The 17,010-nt window shown below is 54.8% G+C and overlaps 2 protein-coding genes across 11 annotated transcripts in view, besides 4 other annotated features; both read right to left on the bottom strand.

The window, feature by feature from the left end:
• Positions 21–589: an enhancer, noted in NCBI's record as "H3K4me1 hESC enhancer chr12:6936229-6936797 (GRCh37/hg19 assembly coordinates)". NCBI's record gives its function as "activates a minimal SCP1, AML or CMV promoter by ChIP-STARR-seq in naive H9 embryonic stem cells {active_cell/tissue: H9 hESC(naive)}" and the evidence as "EXISTENCE:reporter gene assay evidence [ECO:0000049][PMID:30033119]".
• GPR162 (G protein-coupled receptor 162) lies at positions 232–5,832 on the bottom strand. 2 transcript variants are annotated; one of them, NM_019858.2, is made up of 5 exons: positions 5,753–5,832; positions 2,888–4,185; positions 1,980–2,169; positions 1,300–1,457; positions 232–1,000 (listed from the first exon to the last, which is right to left on the bottom strand). In NM_019858.2, exons 2-5 carry the CDS (start codon positions 3,752–3,754, stop codon positions 449–451), a joined length of 1,767 nt encoding a protein of 588 aa, NP_062832.1. In that variant the 5' UTR covers positions 3,755–4,185; positions 5,753–5,832; the 3' UTR covers positions 232–448. The 2 variants fall into 2 exon arrangements, with proteins under 2 accessions (NP_062832.1, NP_055264.1); NM_014449.2 differs by having other exon boundaries at positions 3,890–4,185.
• Positions 5,849–6,821: an enhancer, noted in NCBI's record as "H3K4me1 hESC enhancer chr12:6929998-6930970 (GRCh37/hg19 assembly coordinates)". NCBI's record gives its function as "activates a minimal SCP1, AML or CMV promoter by ChIP-STARR-seq in primed H9 embryonic stem cells {active_cell/tissue: H9 hESC(primed)}" and the evidence as "EXISTENCE:reporter gene assay evidence [ECO:0000049][PMID:30033119]".
• The window catches only part of CD4 (CD4 molecule), a 31,272-nt gene continuing 21,115 nt past the window's right edge, over positions 6,854–17,010 (bottom strand). For 4 of the 9 annotated variants that reach the window (NM_001382707.1, NM_000616.5, NM_001382714.1 and 1 more), the window contains 7 exons: positions 13,353–13,511; positions 12,661–12,894; positions 11,250–11,597; positions 10,323–10,523; positions 9,111–9,232; positions 8,739–8,806; positions 6,854–8,354 (listed from right to left, as the gene is read on the bottom strand). In NM_001382707.1, coding sequence (NP_001369636.1) covers positions 8,324–8,354; positions 8,739–8,806; positions 9,111–9,232; positions 10,323–10,523; positions 11,250–11,597; positions 12,661–12,894; positions 13,353–13,511 — 1,163 coding nt within the window. In that variant the 3' untranslated portion in view covers positions 6,854–8,323. Of the gene's footprint in view, positions 8,355–8,738; positions 8,807–9,110; positions 9,233–10,322; positions 10,524–11,249; positions 11,923–12,660; positions 12,895–13,189; positions 13,512–17,010 lie in introns of all 9 variants that reach the window. The other 5 variants (NM_001382706.1, NM_001382705.1, NM_001195015.3 and 2 more) reach the window with 4 other exon arrangements.
• Positions 7,792–8,292: an enhancer, noted in NCBI's record as "H3K4me1 hESC enhancer chr12:6928527-6929027 (GRCh37/hg19 assembly coordinates)". NCBI's record gives its function as "activates a minimal SCP1, AML or CMV promoter by ChIP-STARR-seq in primed H9 embryonic stem cells {active_cell/tissue: H9 hESC(primed)}" and the evidence as "EXISTENCE:reporter gene assay evidence [ECO:0000049][PMID:30033119]".
• Positions 8,293–8,793: an enhancer, noted in NCBI's record as "H3K4me1 hESC enhancer chr12:6928026-6928526 (GRCh37/hg19 assembly coordinates)". NCBI's record gives its function as "activates a minimal SCP1, AML or CMV promoter by ChIP-STARR-seq in primed H9 embryonic stem cells {active_cell/tissue: H9 hESC(primed)}" and the evidence as "EXISTENCE:reporter gene assay evidence [ECO:0000049][PMID:30033119]".

Raw genomic sequence — 17,010 nt, 5'->3', positions numbered from 1 at the left:
TGAACAGAGATCCTTCATACCCCAACCAACGAAGATGTGTGTCCTCAAGCCCCGCCCCCAGCAGGATATGCTCCTCCCAGCCTTCCCTGTGCGAGGCTGCCTGGTGGAGCATGTGATCATTTCTCCATGTGTCCTTCTGTGCCTCTGTCTGCTGCCCCTGCTCTGTCGTGTCCCCTGTGAGCCACTCCACCCTCCAAGCCCCTTTCCACCGCAGTACACTGGACACTGAGGTTTCCATGGCAACACTTCAGACTTTAATACATATTGCTAGGGGTGATGGAAGCTGAGTAGGGCATCTGGTCACTTGGATGGGAGAGAGCAGGGCCTTCTGAGCCCCAAATCTAGCGCCCGTCTCCCCAGAGTCTGGAGGCAGCTGCCCTACTCTCGGCCAGAATGAGGTGTTACTCACTCAGGCTTTCTCCTCTGAGTTCAGCAGGCCTGCTTGGGCTCACAGGGTCAGCTGGGGAAAGATGGGGTTGCCTGGGCCCCAGGATCCTCCCCAAGCCCTTGCACTTTCTTCACCCCCCGTCAGGGAGCAGCGTCTCCCTGCGCTTAGTCCCAAAGGAAGTCCAACGGCTCTGCTCTCAGGGGACCCAAGGGAGAGTCGGCGGGGTGAGAGGCCCAGTGGCCGGGGCCGACGAGGAGAGTGCCCTGGTGAGGCAGTCGGAGAAGGCAGAGGTGTCTCATCGATGAAGGTGGTGATCTCCTCCCGGAAGAAGCCAGGACCCCGTGGGGGTCCCCCACCTGACCCCAGAACCCCACTCTCCAAGAATTGGCGAAGGCTGGCCAGCCCCCCACCTTCAGCCTCTTCCTCGTCCTCCTCGTCCTCCAACCTGTGTCTTTGTCCCAGGTACTCAGGAGGACCCCCGAGGGCCCGGCTCTGGGCTGGGAGGACCCGGATGTCATCAGAGGATGACCACTTGTGCAGGAAGGAGCCTGGTTCCCGAGGGGTAGAGAAGATGTTTGTCTCATCATGGGACAGACGCCGGGATAGGGGGACCTGGGAAGAGGAGCGGGTAAGACCTGAAGGTGCTGCAGGGACAGAGGCAGAGGCAGGAACCAAGTGGGGACTCCGGAAGATGGTGCCACCTTCTTAACCTTCAAAACGTTTGCTCCGGTGGGCAAACCTGGCCCCACGAGGTCTGAAGGGATGCCTCTCTTGCTATAGCTTTCTTTCACCCAGCTCTATGGTGCCCTGAAAGCCAGGGCTAGGGAAGAGGGGATTGGGGTGCCTAACAGACACTGGAGAAAAGTGATGAGCGGCACCAAGGGTAGGAGATGTATCCCCCAGTTCCATACCTGTAAGTAGTGGACTCTCTCAAGAGGAGGGAAGAGCATGTGCCTTCCAGGCAGCAGCTTCACCTGGGCGGGGTCCCGGCTCCCTGGTCCTGTGGCTCCGTTAGCATCAAAGCGAACTTTGCAAACTCGGCCCTCTGCATAGTCGTCACAGCCCCCATCTAGGAGAGAAAATGGGCAGAGTGGTTACAGGTAGGGAATGCCTACCGCGGCCTCCCACCACTGCCTTTATAAGCTCCCAGAGACCCCTTTAGTTCCCATTAGCATGTATGTTCCAAGAGGACAGTGAGAGTGGCTAGCATTTGCTGCGTTCAGTGCTAAATCCTGAGTGGAGTGCTTCATACATATAGATGAAGTTATTGAAACAATTGCCTGCACTCCCCCAAGAGCCGTCCCTATAGCTGGGGGGCCTCTCTCGGGAAGCTCAGGTTCCCCATAGTGCCAGAGCTGGGCAGTGTGGGTTTCTGGAGGGGAGCCTAGGCCCAGTGAAGGGAGCCCTGAGTGCTGCGGGAAGCAGTGAGTGGACAGCAGGGTGCCTGCTTAGGGAAAGGGGAGCCCAGGGTGGTGCAGATTCTGTCCAGTAGGGGGCACTCCAGGGCAGCCCATCCTCTGGCTGAGAAGGAGCGGCAGAAAAGGGAATAGACAGATGTCCAGGAAAGCCAAAGCCCAGCCCCTCCTCTGACCGTCATCTCCATCCTCCTCAGACATGATGGCCACGCATTGCTCCCACACTGTGCGCACGTCGGCGCGGTAGCGCTCGCAGGACCAGATGAAGGAGGGCAGCAGCAGCGTCTGTGCCATGGAGCACCACAGCACAGCCAGCACCATCCAGGGGGGCGCCGAGTCCGACTTGAGGGAGAAGAAGCTCACCACCTGGGGAAGGGTGGGAGCGGGCTGGGTCAGGGCCAGAGCTGAGGAGCCCACCTGAACCCCATATCCTAGTGCAGCTGGTGGGCAAGACGTCAGAAGTAATGCCTGATCCCTGTGCTCCAACAGAGGCGAAGCCGGAGGTGGAGATGGAGTGAACAGAGGGAAGGGACTGACTCAGAGGAAGGTCGGGGAGAGTGCTGGAGACAAAGCCCTGCGGTCAGGAGGGAGAGGAACAGAGGTGGACCAGGAACCGTAGAGACAGACAGGAACCCAGGAACAGTGACTAGATGGGGTGGTGGGGTGAGCCCTGTGGGATTTCCAGCCAAGAGTGCTCAGAGACCATGTGGCAGCCCGAGGGAAGGAGGGAATGGAGAGTGGAGCCCAGCGGCTGGATGAGAGGTCTGCGGCTGAACCGTGGAGCTGCAGGATGGATGACGGAGCTGGAGGACAGGTCGTGGAACTGAAGGACGGTGATGGAGCTGAGGAGTGGGAACTGAAGCAGATGCTGGAGCTGGGGTAAACAGGGTAGTGGGAACTAAAAGACAGATGATCAAGATGGGGGCCACAAATGGAGTGGGGGATGGACAGAGGAGAGGAAGATGGATGATGGAACTGGAGGAGAGATGACGGAGCTGCTGTATGGCTGATGAAGTTGGAGGTCAGGTGATGATGCTGGGGCCTGGATATTGGGGAGAACAGGTGGGGAGGACCCCGATCTCACCAAGATGGGCACCCCTGTGAGTGAGTCATAGAGAAAGACGATGGCGCTGACCAAGTTGGTGACCTGCAGGGATGTCTTGGCAGACTCCGAGCCATCCAGCGAGGACCGCCGCTTCCCTCGGGCATCCTCCACCACAATGGCTGGTACCTCAAAAGCTGGCCGGGTACCCAAGGCCCCTGGCCCACCCGCTTTGGTCCCCCCACCACCCCCCACTCTCCGGGCCTGCCGAGCCCTCCGGGGCCGGGCCCACAGTGTCTGGTAGAAGGTGATGGCCACACAGACCAGACCCATGACAATTCCCCCAAGTAGCAAGAGGCTGAAGCAAACGCCAAAGCCGAGGCCGATCTTGGAGACTATGAACTGGCAGCCGCGGGCATAGTAGCGCTCGCCGTTGTTGTGCCAGCCAATGGAGGGCAGTGTGGAGAGGATGAAGCTGACCATCCAGATGCCCATGACGGCATGCAGTGCCTGCTTCTTGGCGTTGCTGAGGCGGTAGTTGACGGGCCAGCGCACCATCCACATGCGATGGTAGGAGAGGGAGGCGACCGTGAAGCAGGTGGCCAGCGCCAGGGTGTAGTAGGTGGACACGAAGACCTTGCAGATACTCTCGTTCCAGTCATAGTCGGAGGAAGCCTGACGACGCAGCTGCACCACGGCAAAGGTGGTGAGGGGCACAGCTGCCATGAGTATGTGTGTGCCCGCTAGGAAGCAGAGCAGCAGCTCCAGTGGCTTGTGCTTCTGCTGCTTGGCCGAGATGCTGAGGATGATCCAGGCATTGGCCAGCAGCGCCAGGAGCCCACAGGCCAGCCAGGACAATGCGTTGGAGCGCAGGGAGGCCTCCTCTGCCCCCGCCCCGCCCCGAGCCATCCTATCCTCAGCCCCCCACCCCCTTGAGCTCTGTGGGGGTGGGGGCTAGGTCTCACCCAGGAGCCCCACTCACAAACACTCCCATGATCCCCACAATCCTCGCCCTGTCAGCAGGCAGGCTGCCCCCAGGCTCACCCCAGTGCTCAGCATTGCATGATGGACCCAGCTGAGGGCAGATGTAGAGGGCAGGGGAGGAGACTGAGGGTCAGCAGAGGCAATCCTCAGCTTTCATACTGGGCGGGGCCTTCCTTAAGCATCCCTGCAATTGATGGGGCAGGCAAGCTGGCTACTTTCCCAACTATGAGGCTGGCTGGGGGGTTCTGGTCCCCATGCTGGGACTTCCAGGTCTCTTTTGCCTCTGGTTCTTGACCAGTCAGGAATCTTCTGGATGCCCCAGGGATTTGGGGGTGGGGCTCAGCCCCCTGGACAGGCTGCAAGGGAAAGATGAGATGTGGGAGGGAGAGGGCAAAGGTAGGGCCTGGGCTGGTCTCCAATCAGCCTCCTGTGCCCCCTTTCTTGAAACTATAGGCATGACTGATTACTAAGGCCCTGAGGGTCATTCAGAACATTCCTTTGCCTTAACTCTGACAGCTAAACACCCCACACAGATGAGAGCCGCACTCTTCCAGACCTCTAGGGAAGAAGGTATTCCCACCTCCCTGTCTCCTTTAGCCCTTCCTCCTCCCGCTGGAACTCCCAGGTTCCTTCTTAGAACATCCCCTGCTCAGCACTACTCCACCCCTATCTTCAAGTCCCTAAATGTCTCTTCAGAACTACTGATGGGAGACACAAGACTGGTTTCCTCTTGAGGGTTCACAGTGAACTGGGATATGGCATCACAGCCTTCCTCCCCTACCTGCCGGTCTCCTGGATGCAGGGGTCTTGGTGCTTAGCCCCTACTTCCCCAAACCTGGGTGATCACCCTCCAGCTACCCATATCTGGGAAAATGGGAGAAAGGAGTCTGGGACCGAAGGGGGTGCTAGGGAACCTGAAGGCGGGGAAACCGCTGACATCAGAAGCATCCAGAAATGGAAAGAGGGGGAACTAGGGAGAAGGAGGAGAGTTTGAGCAGAAGAGAAAGAGGGGGCAAAGTGGTAGTATCTGAAAATAGCAGGAAAAGCTCAAACCCCCTGGAGAGGAGGCTTTGGAGGGAGGAGGGACTGGAGGAGGGAGGGAGGGAGGGAGCAGGGAATAGGAGGCTGAGAAGAAAAGCCAAATGTTCAATAAGGTGCTGACTCCCCGTGGGGAGACCTTGACTCTTCCTCCCTGGCCCAGAGCCTCAGTTTCCCTCTCATGGGAGGAAGGATGGTCCCAGTTTTAGTGCGTGATGCTGAGCTTCAGTGAGCCCTGGGAAGGGGGGTAAGGGAATCGGGTGAAACCCTGAACAGAGTGGGGCTGTAAGGAAGCACATAATGGCTTTAGGGTAAGTGGGGTAAAAATGGGGCACAGCAGTGAAAGGGTCTGTTTCCCATGGAAGCAGCTCAGACCCTTGCTTTCCCCAAGAGGTCCTGGTCCACCCCCACCCTTGGCTTCCCTCCGGAGCCCAGTACACCCTAGTTGCCATGGCAATGGCCAGCCAGAGGGAGGTGGAGGGACTTGGCCAAGAGCAGCCCCCAGTGTCCTCTCCTACAGCCCTGGACCCCTTCCCACCCACCTCCACCCAGGCCCAGCTGGTGGGCTCAGGATGAAAGAGATAGGGAGTCAGAGAGGGAAGGAGGCAGGAAAGATGTGAAGGACAGAGAGAGGGAGGTGAAGGACAGGGAGAGATCAGAGGAAGGTGGGAAGGGGGATCTGGGAGGTTCCCTGGCCGACGGGGTCCCTCGCCCTTTGGGGTGAAGGGGTAAGGTCAGGCGGCTCCTCCCTCCTGTCCCCCTCCAGGTTCTCCAGGGCAGAAACAGCAGGTGGCTGGGGAGGAGGGGCCGGCCTAGGGGAGAGGAGGCAGCTTGAGGGGGAAAGGGAGGCAACACAGGGGACGGGGCAGGCAGGGGTCGTCTTACCTCTCTCCGGCTGCGCCCAGCACTGCCATGGAGACCGCACTCCCGACGCGGCTCTCTCGGGCTCCCGCTGCCTGCCGGCTCCAGCTCGCCCGCCCTCCTCCCTCCTTCCCTCTCTCCCTCCCTCCCTTCCCCCGGGCCTCCCTCCTCCCCCTCAGTCCCGGCCTCCCAGGCTCAGCCCACGGCTCACTCGGTCTCTGCCCCTCTCACTCTCCAGGACCCTCTCTCCCGGGGTCGTCCTGCCAGTGAGCCCAGGCCAGAGGGAAGGCAGGACAGCTTTGTGGGGGGCGGGGGGGGGCGGGAAACGAGTGCAGGGTGGGGAACTGGACGGTGGTGACTCGGGGAGGAGGGGCAAGGAAGGCGCTGAGAGGGAGGGCGGTGAGGAGGATGGCTGGGAACCGGCTTCATTGGTGAAATGGTTCATGTCCTGCCCCCACCCCTTCCCGTTTTCAACACGAACACAAGCTCCAAGAGGCAGCTGGTGTTGTTGGGGACTGAGGAGCTAGCTGTTCGGGGAGGAGGAAGCGTGTGTCACTGTGTGTATCTGTGTGAGGGCTGGGCCTTGGGTTTGGGAGTGAGGGGGCTTGTGGTGCACACTGGGGCTGCTTGTGGAGTTGGGGGTGGTTGTGCACAAGCTAAAAGGATGTGGGCGCATGCATGCACACAGACACACACACTCTGCCTCCTCCTCCTGGAACACAAACACATATGTTGGGGATACAATTTGCACACACATGTTACAGTTTCTCATAGTCCTTTTTCTCTGCCACACACATACACCAGGAGAGCTCACACAACCCTGAGTCTCTCCCCCACGGTATATCACACACATGTAATTACAGAGTCTCAGCCTCACACACACACAGGCCCACACAGAGCCCTGTGGGTTGTGGAGGTGGGTAGCCAGCCTCCACAGAATTTTTCCCTCTCCAGGGAAACTTCATCTCCTTCCTGGGGCACGCCCAGCAACCTCTCCTCTGGGTCCGACCCCAAAGACCAGAAGATTCCTGGTCCCCAGAGAAGGGGTCTCTCTCTCTCTCTCTCTCTCACACACACACACACACACACACACACACACACACACACACGAAGAGCATCTTTATAGTAAGTTTATTGTATTTTTATTTCAGCTCAGGGGAGCAGGGGTGGAGAGTGGGCACAAATGCAAAGTAAGCAAATGGGGAGCCCCAGCAGCAATAGGGGGGTCTTCCTGGAAGAGGCAGGCTTTAAAGACAGGAGGAGAAGGAAATAGGGAAAAGGAGTTGGGACTGAGGGAAGTGGTGAGGAAGGGTAGGAAGAGAGGGGATCCTGAGAGAAGTGGATCAAGAAGATTTGTAACCCTGATTTCCCTGTGTCCTGAATGGTCTGGAGGAGGGTAAGGGAGGGTGTGGGGCAGGCGCAGAGCCTGGCACAATCACCTTTGAGGTCCCTTAGAGGGTTCCCTCTCAGGCTAGCTACCCCCTCTCCCAGCAAAGCTCGCTTCCAGGAGGTTCTGCACAGGGTCAGTGACTGGTCACTGGGCATTCTCTCCTGCAGTGCCTGTGCTCCCAGCTTGCGCTCTGATTAGAAGAGCCAAAGGCTTTGTCCTCTGGTAACAGATTCTGCCACCAGCGGGGGATGAAGGAGGGATTTTAGACAGGGAGGCCTTCATCCCTGCTCGTAAATTCTCTGAGATGGACCCTTCCCATGGGTGCTGTGCTTCTGTGAACCCAAAAGTACACATTGAGTACCCACCACTAGCCACTGGTGAGAGCCGTGTGGCATTTGTCCCTGCATTCAAGAGGCAGCAGTGGAACTTGGGACAAGGGACCTGGGTTAGTCCCGACTCCAGCACTTGCTAGTCCGGCACTTGGTAATCAATCATCTAGCCTCTCTGAGCTCTGGTTCTGGTCTATAAACTGGAGATGATCATCTTAGTTCTGTCACTGCCAGCCTTGTAGGATTTTTCTAAGTCTCAAATAGACAGAGGATGTGAGACATCCCTTGAGGCCGTGTACATGGGGCTGTGTCCAGAGGGGCTGTTTGTGCAAGGTCAGGATGTGAGTCTGTGGTCCCACCCACATAGGGTGAGAAGCGGGCAGCATGGGGCAGGAGGTACTGGCTGCCAGAAACCTCTGGATCTGCATCCATCCTTGACTGGCTTGGCTGTGTGATTTTGTGCAAGTTCCTGCCCTCTGTGGTCCCAGGGTCCTGTCTTGTAAAAGAACAGTCCCATGCTCCATGCTTCCAGACACCCAGCCTCACCCTCCATGCCAGCCAGGGCTGGCCCTGAACACTCCCCTGGGATCCAAATGAGCAGTGGGGAGAGGGTCAGAGAGAAATAATGAGAGAAGGGCTAGGCTTGAAGGAAAAGGAAATGGCGTGGAGGACGGTGTGATTAAGCCTCTGGAAACTAGAGAGCAACACTCAACCAGTGAAGCCGGGGCCTAACCCAGGAGAAACAATGGCAAATTGTAGAGGAGGCGAACAGGAGGCCAGAGGCTGGGGATCTGCTACATTCATCTGGTCCGCAGGCAGGAAACGCGGGGCAGACACCTGGGGAGGCTGCAAGTGGGATCTGCCTGGCCTCGTGCCTCAAATGGGGCTACATGTCTTCTGAAACCGGCTGCAGGAACAAAGAAGAAGGGGAGCAGGTCTGTCCCCACTGCAACCCCTTTGCGTTCTAGCACCTCCAATGGCCTTTCCAGCGCAGCACAGCTCCAGTGGCTTTCCAGCAGGGCCTTTCCTGGCCTGCTGCTCCTTCAGCTCCATCCTCCCACTTCTGCCTCCTTCTAGCTCCTGGCCATCTTTTCCCACCCCTCTATCCTCTCCACCACACCCCTTTAGCCCCCATCTCCTCACCTCCACCCCTCCCAGCTCTTCCTCCTCAACTCCTTCCTCCTCTCCATCCTCCCTTCCTGCCCCCCTTTGCTCCCCTTCCTCCCCCTCCTCTCTAACTCCCTCCCCCTCCCCCTTTCCCCTCTCTCAACCCCTCCTCCCAGATCCTTACTGAGGACACTGGCAGGTCTTCTTCTCACTGAGGAGTCTCTTGATCTGAGACATCCGCTCTGCTTGGCGCTGTCCAGGGACAAGAAAGGGAGTCACGAGGGTCCCAGGCCTCCAGAAGGGAGGTGCCCCTTGGTGGGGGGAGTGGGGGAAGCTGCGACAGGAGAAGCAGTTACATGGCCCAGGCCATCTATCCTGGAATTAACTCTCTGCTCCTTCCTGTCTCTCCCTTGAGTGGGATCTGGGACAGGGCAGCAAGGGAACTTACGAGTGGGCAGAGGGAGCTGGGCCAAAATCAGTTCCCATATACAGGATCTCCTGGTAGAGGACTCAGGGGTTTGAGGGCCTTGTGGGGACCAGGTGTGGGGTTACTCACCCTTCGGTGCCGGCACCTGACACAGAAGAAGATGCCTAGCCCAATGAAAAGCAGGAGGCCGGCGACGCCCCCCAGCACAATCAGGGCCATTGGCTGCACCGGGGTGGACCATGTGGGCAGAACTGCAAGGGAGAGAAATGTGCTCAATGCACCGCCCTCCTCCACGGGCCAGGGGACTGAGGACTGCCCTGCAATCCCTCCTGGCCAGTCTCTGGTTTGACCCTGGGGTTGGGGGAGAGGGGAGGGGTGCCTGGGGGCTCTCAAAGGCCGCCAGTGCTGGGGAATCGGTTTTATGTTTGGGCATATCCATATCCAGGGCACTCTGGAGAGAGAGAAGCTGTGGTCTGGCTCCTGGGCTGTGTGTGTGAGTGCATGTGTGTGTGCATGTGTGAGTGTGTGCATGTGTGTGCGTGTGTGAATGGTGTGAATGTGTGTGTGTGCGCGCGTGTGCGCGTGTGAGTCCATGTGTGAATGTGTGTGCGTGTGTGCATGTGTGTGAATGTGTGCCTGTGTGCGTGTATGAATGTGTGTGCGTGACTGCATGCATGTGCGCGCGCGTGTGTGCACATGTGTGAATAATGCGTGTGCGGATGTGAGTGTATAAGTGTGTGAGTGTACGTGTACGACAGTGTGTGGGTGAGAGTATGTGCGTGAATGTGTAAGTGTGTGTGTGCATGCATGTGTGAGTACATGTGTGTGTATGAGTGTGTGACAGTGTGTGAGTGCATGGGTGTGAGTACATGGGGTGAGAGTGTGGGTGTGAGTGTGGATGTGTGTGTAGTGTGTGTATGAGTGTGTGCGAGTGTGTGAGTGATGTGTGTGCGTGTGTGAGAGTGTATGGGAGTGTGTGCATGTGTGTGAGAGTGTATGTGTGTGAGTGTGTGTGTAAGTGCGTCTGGATTTGGAGAAAAGCCAGGAGCCAGGGAGGGGGGCTCTCGGTCAGGTGGACCCCATCCCTAGGCTGTAGACCTGAGGGAGTGGGAACTTGTAGAATTACAACTGGCAGCCTAGAGCCCAGGACCACAACCCACCTCACTTCATCACTTCTATGCCTCCTTTTGGGGCCTCCAAAGCACCCTGGGACCACAGAGGACACCATACCCATAACCCCCCAACTCAGGCATTGGGAGGCCGGGACTCTGGGTGGTCTCTGCCAACCACAGGAAGGTCCCGCAGCCCAGGAGGCAGAGGCCTTGGAACCTGGGTCCTTACCCTTGATGTTGGATTCCAGCAGGACCTGTCCCGAGTCACTCAGCAGACACTGCCACATCCCCGCCTCAGGGTTCAGCACCCACACCGCCTTCTCCCGCTTCGAGACCTTTGCCTCCTTGTTCTCCAGTTTCAAACTCAGCATCAGCTTAGGGGAGGTGGGTCCCCACACCTCACAGGTCAAATTTTTCTGGAGCTGAGTGGCTGCAGAGGAACGAGAGGCTGAGATCAAAGGCCTGAGATTCAGTAGAACAATTAAAATGATACTCTATATGGGTGACCTTCTTTTAGCCTTTTAGAGCAGGTTTTCATGCAGTCCTACGAGGAAAAACAGCGTTTGGGGTCCAGTGGTATTGGATTTGAATCCCAGCTCCACTGCTTAGCAGCTGTGTGTCTCTGGGCAAGTGACTTAACAACCTGCACCCAGATAGTACTAAAGGCAGGCATACATGTAAAGTGTTTGGATGGGGCCCGACACGTGCTGAGCATCAAGTGTTAGCCATTACTATTTGCAGAGTCGTTATGATGATAAGGAGATAAGGAAGCCAGAAACTCAATTTGGAGCTTGACATTATCATCATTACTATCACACAGAGAGCAGATTTCATTATCCTTATTAGACAGGTCAGGAAGCAGGCCTGCAGTGGGAGGGGGCTTAGCCAGGGTCACAGAGGGTTGGTTATAGGAAGAACTGGAACCCTGGTTCTTAGCCCAAGTGCTTTGGGGATCTTCAGTGAAGCCAGCCCCAGGCTGGCTCATGGATGTCTCAGTTCAAAACCAGCCCCAAACCCAGAGGGCCCTCCCTCACTTCATCCAGGTGACCAGGGCCTAGGCATCCCCTCTTGGGGCCTGGCTTGCCTCAGAGGGAGCCCTGGGCCAGGCCCCTCCAACTCCTTCCCCTGCCCACCCCTCCCTGGCCTGGCCCCTCACCTCTCATCACCACCAGGTTCACTTCCTGATGCAACTTTCCTGTTTTCGCTTCAAGGGCCAGGGTGAGGTTTCCAGAGCCAGCATACTGAGGCAAGGCCTGGGGCAGGGTGAGGTGGAGCGGGAGCTTCTTGCCCATCTGGAGCTTAGGGTCCTGGGTAACCCGTTTTACAGACACTTCCTTGTTCTTCAGGTCAAAGGTGATCCAAGACTTGGAGGAGGAAGCCCTCTCCGCCTGCCACCACAGCTCGCCACTGCCCGTCAGCTTTTCAACTGTAAAGGCGAGTGGGAAGGAGAACTCCACCTGTTCCCCCTCTTTCTTATAGACTATGCTGGAGGCCTTCTGGAAAGCTGGAGGTGGGAAGGGAGAGACCCTGGGTGAGGAGATAGGAAGATGAGGGTGCACGAGTGGGGTTGGCATGTGGAGGCAGCAGGGAGATGGAAGGGGACCCGACGAGTCCAGACACCCACCTTGTCACTTCAGATACTTCAGTTCCTTCCTACCTCTCCAGCCTTCTCTCCCTTCTTCCACCCAGCATTTTCCTACAGCAGGCCACCTCCCTCCTCCCGGAAGCCATCACAGAGCAGCCCAGCCACAGGGGATCCTTGCTGTCCTTAGGATTCCTGGACCACAGAAGCCATTTGGCCTCCACTCCTTAGAGGCGTATTCATCACCCTTCACAAAATAACAGCGAACACTTAACTAGGGCTTACTCTGTGCCAGGCACCATTTTCAGTGCCTTACGTATATCAGTCCTCAACTTAATACGAGGTAGTCACTATGGCAGTTAACATCATCCCCATTTCACAGAGGCTGAAACCAAGGTGCAGAGAGGTTTAGTAACTCACCCAAGGTCACATGGTTGTGGCAGAACCAGGATTTCAATCAGCGTACATGCACTAAACTGGCACACTACCTTATGTCTACCTTAAGTCACATAAGCACCCAGGGGACAGGATCTGGGGTAGGACCTTGGTCTCCCCACAGTGGCCTGGCTTAGAGGTCCAGAGGTACAACATAGAACATCATCAGGGTTGGCTTACTGGTGTTAGTGTCCCTGAGTAAGTGGATTTGCCAACTTGGTAGGGGTGTGGAGCTGAGGCAACAAAGAAAGTAAGCTCCCTGACATTCCTCCTTTGGGGCCTCCAAAGGAGACTCGGGCCTCTAGCATCCTTACCTTCCCCAGCCTTTCCTTTCTCCATGTCCACCACACTGAGGGGTGGCTGCCAATCAGCCCCCTGAGGATGAGGGCCCCAGTGAGTCCTTCAAGACAGGCCTCAGCTCTAGGGGACCTAGTCTTCTCCACTCCTGACCTCCCAGCACCAGAACCAGAAACAGGGCAGTCAGAGCAGAGGGAGGGGCTGTCAGCCCCTGGGGCAGGGAGGAGACTGCGCGAAGAGGGGCTTCCCTTACCTAGCACCACGATGTCTATTTTGAACTCCACCTTCTTCTGGTTCTGCAAGACAGTGCATGTCCAGGTGCCACTATCCTGGAGCTCCAGCTGAGACACGGAGAGGGTCTTCCCCCCCTGTATGTTTTTACCCCTTGGACTCCTACATTGCACTGAGGGGCTACTACCAGGGGGGCTCTCCAAGGTCAGGGTCAGGCTCTGCCCCTGAAGCAGGTGGGTGTCAGAGTTGGCAGTCACTGTGGAGGGAAAGGCCAGCTGTGTCACACACATACCATCCCCAAGGAGAAGGGCAGACAACAGGAAACCAACAACATCTCTCCATTATCGCCGTCCCAACATCTCCTTCCTCCCAGCACCCAGCTGCGCACCCCCAGCCAAGATAGGGTTTCCCTCTCCCCTCCTCTCTCTCTTCTTTCCTCCTCTCCCCTCATCCTCTCTTCCCCAGTCTCTCTCCCTCCTTCCCTTGCCTCCTTCCCTTTTCTTTCCTTTTCCCAAGGCCTCTTCCCTCCTCCGCCCACCAGCATCCCTCACCTGATCAAGAAGGGTTTTAAGACATTTGGAGGCCAGTTTGACAGCCTGGTCCTCTTGGGGCTGCTGCGGTATCACCAGCTCAGGCTGGATTTGGTGCAGGGGTGGGAGTAGTGGGGAAGGGAACCAGGCAGGAGGTATCCTCATCCCCACCTGCCCCACTCACATCCGAACACTAGCAATTGCACCTCCTCCTTCTGGTCCTCCACTTCACAGATGTAAGTATCTGAGTCTTCTATCTTAAGATTCTTGATGATCAGGGGAAAGTTTCCTTGGTCCCAAAGGCTTCTTCTTGAGTCAGCGCGATCATTCAGCTTGGATGGACCTGGGAGCAGAAGACATATGGGGGGGGACTGAGGCGCCCTGGAGACAGGGCACCTCTGGCAAGAGAATGCCCACGGCTCTTCTGATATCAGTTGCTAATTTCCTGCAACATCTGCTCCTCGTTCTAATCAGAGAAACCCGGTCTGGCAAGGAGGTCTCATCATATCCATTTACCTGGCTGGGACAGTAGCTCACAAATACAAATAAAATCATATCCTTATTTGGAGAGCACCAACTCCTACATGCCAAATACTTTACAGGCATCATCTCAGTAATCTCCACAATAATTCCGAGAAATAGATACTGTCAACACTGTTTTGTTTATTTTGCAGATAGAGAAACTGAGACTCAGAGAGATTAGGTAACTGCCTAAACTCTCACATATTGAGATTAAGTAATTACCCAACTCTCACACATTGTAGGAGAATAAACCAGTACAATTTCTTTGGATGGTGATTTGTAATCTATACAGAATTACAAATGTATATACAAAACCAAATGTCCATCAATAAAGAATAGGTTAAATAGATCATAGCTCACCCATTCAGTGGACTGCTATGCAGCCGTAAGAGAGGAATGAGGAAGTGCTTTGTGTACTAATTTGGACCCGTATCTAAGAAACATCACTAACTGAATAAAGCGAGATGTTAAACAGTCTACTATTTGTTTTTAAAGGTGGAGAAAATATATTCTTTGTATATGAAAAGAATAATTCTCGAATTAAACATAAGAAAATGAGGCCATTAAAAAGAGCTATAATGTCTAAAAAAAAATTAAAAAAGAAAATGAGGCCAGGCATGGTGGAAATCTCTCATCCCAGCTCTTTGAAAGATCGAGGTGGAAAGATTGTTTGTGCCCAGGAGTTCGAGATCAGCCTGGGCAACATGGCGAAACCCCATCTCTAAAAAAAAAAAAAAAAAAATTTTTTTTAATTAGCCGCCTTGGGAGGCTGAGGTGGGAGAATCACTTGAGCCCAGAAGTCAAAGGTTGCAGTGAAACAAATGAGATGGCACCACTGCACTCCAGTCTAGGTGACAGAGTGAGACTCTGTCTCAAAAAAGAAAAAAAATTAACTGAGTGTGGTGGTGCATGCCAGTAGCCCCAGCTATGCCGGAGGCTGAGGTGGGAGGATAACCTGACCCAGGAGGTCGAGGCTGCAGTGAGCTATGATCATGCCACTGCACTCCACCCTGGGCGACAGAATGAGACCCCATTTAAAAGAAAAAAAAACTGGGAGGCTGAGGCACAAGATCGCTTGAGACTGGGAGGCAGAGTTTGCAGTGAGATCGCACCACTGCATTCCAGCCTTGGTGAGAGAGTGAGACTGTCCCAAAACACACACACACACACACACACACACACACACACACAAAAATAACCTTGGTTGCCTCTAGGAAGAGGAAGTGAATACTCATGTGTAGGAAGAAAGCTTTTCACTATATGCCCTTTGCTTTTTTTTTTTTGAGATGGAGTTTCGCTATTGTTGCCCAGGTTGGAGTGCAATGGCATGATCTTGGCTCACCGCAACCTCCGCCTCCCGGGTTCAAGCAATTATCTTGCCTCTGCCTCCCGAGTAGCTGAGATTACAGGCATGCGCAACCAAGCCCGGCTAATTTTGTATTTTCAGTAGAGACAGGGTTTCTCCTTGTTGGTCAGGCTGGTCTCGAATGCCCAACCTCAGGTGATCCGCTCGCCTTGGCCTCCCGAAGTGCTGGGGTTACAGGCGTGAGCCACCACACCCAGCCTGCTTTCTTTTTTTGTTTGTTTGTTTTTATGGAGTCGAGTGTTCGATCTCTGCTCATTGTAACCTCTGCCTCCTGAGTTCAAGGGATTCTCTTGCCTCAGCCTTCGGAGTAGCTGGGATTACAGGTGTACACCACCACATCTGGCTAATTTTTGTATTTTTAGTAGATACAAGTTTTGCCATGTTGCCCAGGCTGATCTCGAACTCCTGACCTCAAGCAACCCGCCCACCTCAGCCTCCCAAATTGCTGGGATTGCAGGTGTGAGCCACTGCACCCAGCCTATATGCCCTTTTCTATCTTTTGAATTTTGACTCCCGTAAGTGGTGGAGCTAGGATTAAAATGCAGCCCGTCAGGAGTCTGGGACCAACCTAGGCAGCCAATCGAGACCCTCGTCTCTAAAAAAAATTATTTTAAAAAAAATTAGCTGGGTGTGGTGGCACATGCCTGTAATCCCAGCTACTTGAGAGGCTGAAGCAGGAGGATCACTTGAGCCCAGGAGTTCAAAGTTACAGTGAGCTATGATTGTAACACTGCACTCCAGCCTGGGCAACAGAGTGAGGCCTCATCTTAAAGAAAAGAAATTTTTGGCCGGGTGCGGTGGCTCACGCCTGAAATCCCAGCACTTTGGGAGGCCAAGGCGGTGGATCACTTGAGGTCAGGAGTTCAAGACCAGCCTGGCCAACATGGTGAAACCCCATCTCTACTAAAAATACCAAAAAAAAAAAGAAAAAAAAAATTAGCCAGAGCATAGTGACGCATGCCTGTAATCCCAGCTACTTGGGAGGCTGAGGGAGGAGAATGGCTTGAACCCGGGAGGTGGAGATTGCAGTGAGCCAAGATCACGCCACTGCACTCCAGCCTGGGTGACAGAGTGAGACTCTGTCTCAAAAAAAAAAAAAAAAAAAGAAAAAGAAAAGAAAAAAGAAAAGAAAAAATGTTTTAAAAAATAAAAATAATTCAGGCTATTTCGCTATGCAATGCTATCTCTGGAAAGTTCTTCTGGCATAAGTATGTGTCTCCTTTGGCCTCTTCTTGTAAAATCTAATAACCATCACCAAGGGAAGTTTTCTCTTTAGCTGTGCATTTTCTGGGTGCAGTGGAAGCTCCAAAATCTCTGTAGAACAGGGCTTTAGAAGCTAAATTTACATAGCAAACAGTTCTGTTTTGTTTTGTTTTTACTTAGAATGTATATTTGGAGGAATGGGGCAAAGGTGGCTAAGACTAAAGCCTCTCACCCTGCTTGGTACTGCCTCTGCCTCCCTGAGATGCCCAGGTCCTCTCCCTCTTTCTGCCTTGGTGTGGGAGCCTGGATACCAGTTCAGTCACTCACTCTCCTTTCTCTCCTCTTCCAGACCACACAGTCCTCTTCCCCACTGCTCAGCTCTTACTGTCCAGGAGCCCCTTCCAGACAACCTCACAGCCTCAGCACACAGTTGCCCCAAGCTTCCTCAGAGCACGGCAGGCACCCAATCCACCCCACACCTTCAGTTTCACACTTTTTAAAAAAACTTCCCTACTCAAGACAACCTGGACCCAACCTCCCCCTTTATTTGTTCCTTCAGTGGTTCCTGCCCTACTTGCTGTTTGCCCTGGATCTACACACTGCTTTAATTCCCCAGCTTACCCTGAAATTCAACTACATTCCTTTCACAGTTCCTTTACCAAACTTCTTAAAAGCGTGGCCTACTCTGGTTCTGCCCCACTTTGCTCCGCCTCTTTTGTTCCTCCCCTCCATTTCTAAGTATGATTCGTTT

Source organism: Homo sapiens, chromosome 12 (assembly GCF_000001405.40).
Source record: "Homo sapiens chromosome 12, GRCh38.p14 Primary Assembly".
NCBI classification, from domain to species: domain Eukaryota; kingdom Metazoa; phylum Chordata; class Mammalia; order Primates; family Hominidae; genus Homo; species Homo sapiens.
Note: the sequence above shows the minus strand (reverse complement) of the source record. Positions and strands in the feature narration are given on the sequence as shown.

Excerpts from the sequence above, each read along its gene's own strand:
- GPR162 (NM_019858.2), bottom strand. The coding sequence starts at position 3,754 with ATGGCTCGGGGCGGGGCGGGGGCAGAGGAGGCCTCCCTGCGCTCCAAC. Across the intron at positions 1,458-1,979 it reads TGAGGAGGATGGAGATGACG|ATGGGGGCTGTGACGACTAT; the intron begins GTCAGAGGAGGG and ends TTTCTCTCCTAG. Across the intron at positions 1,001-1,299 it reads AGAGAGTCCACTACTTACAG|GTCCCCCTATCCCGGCGTCT; the intron begins GTATGGAACTGG and ends TCCTCTTCCCAG.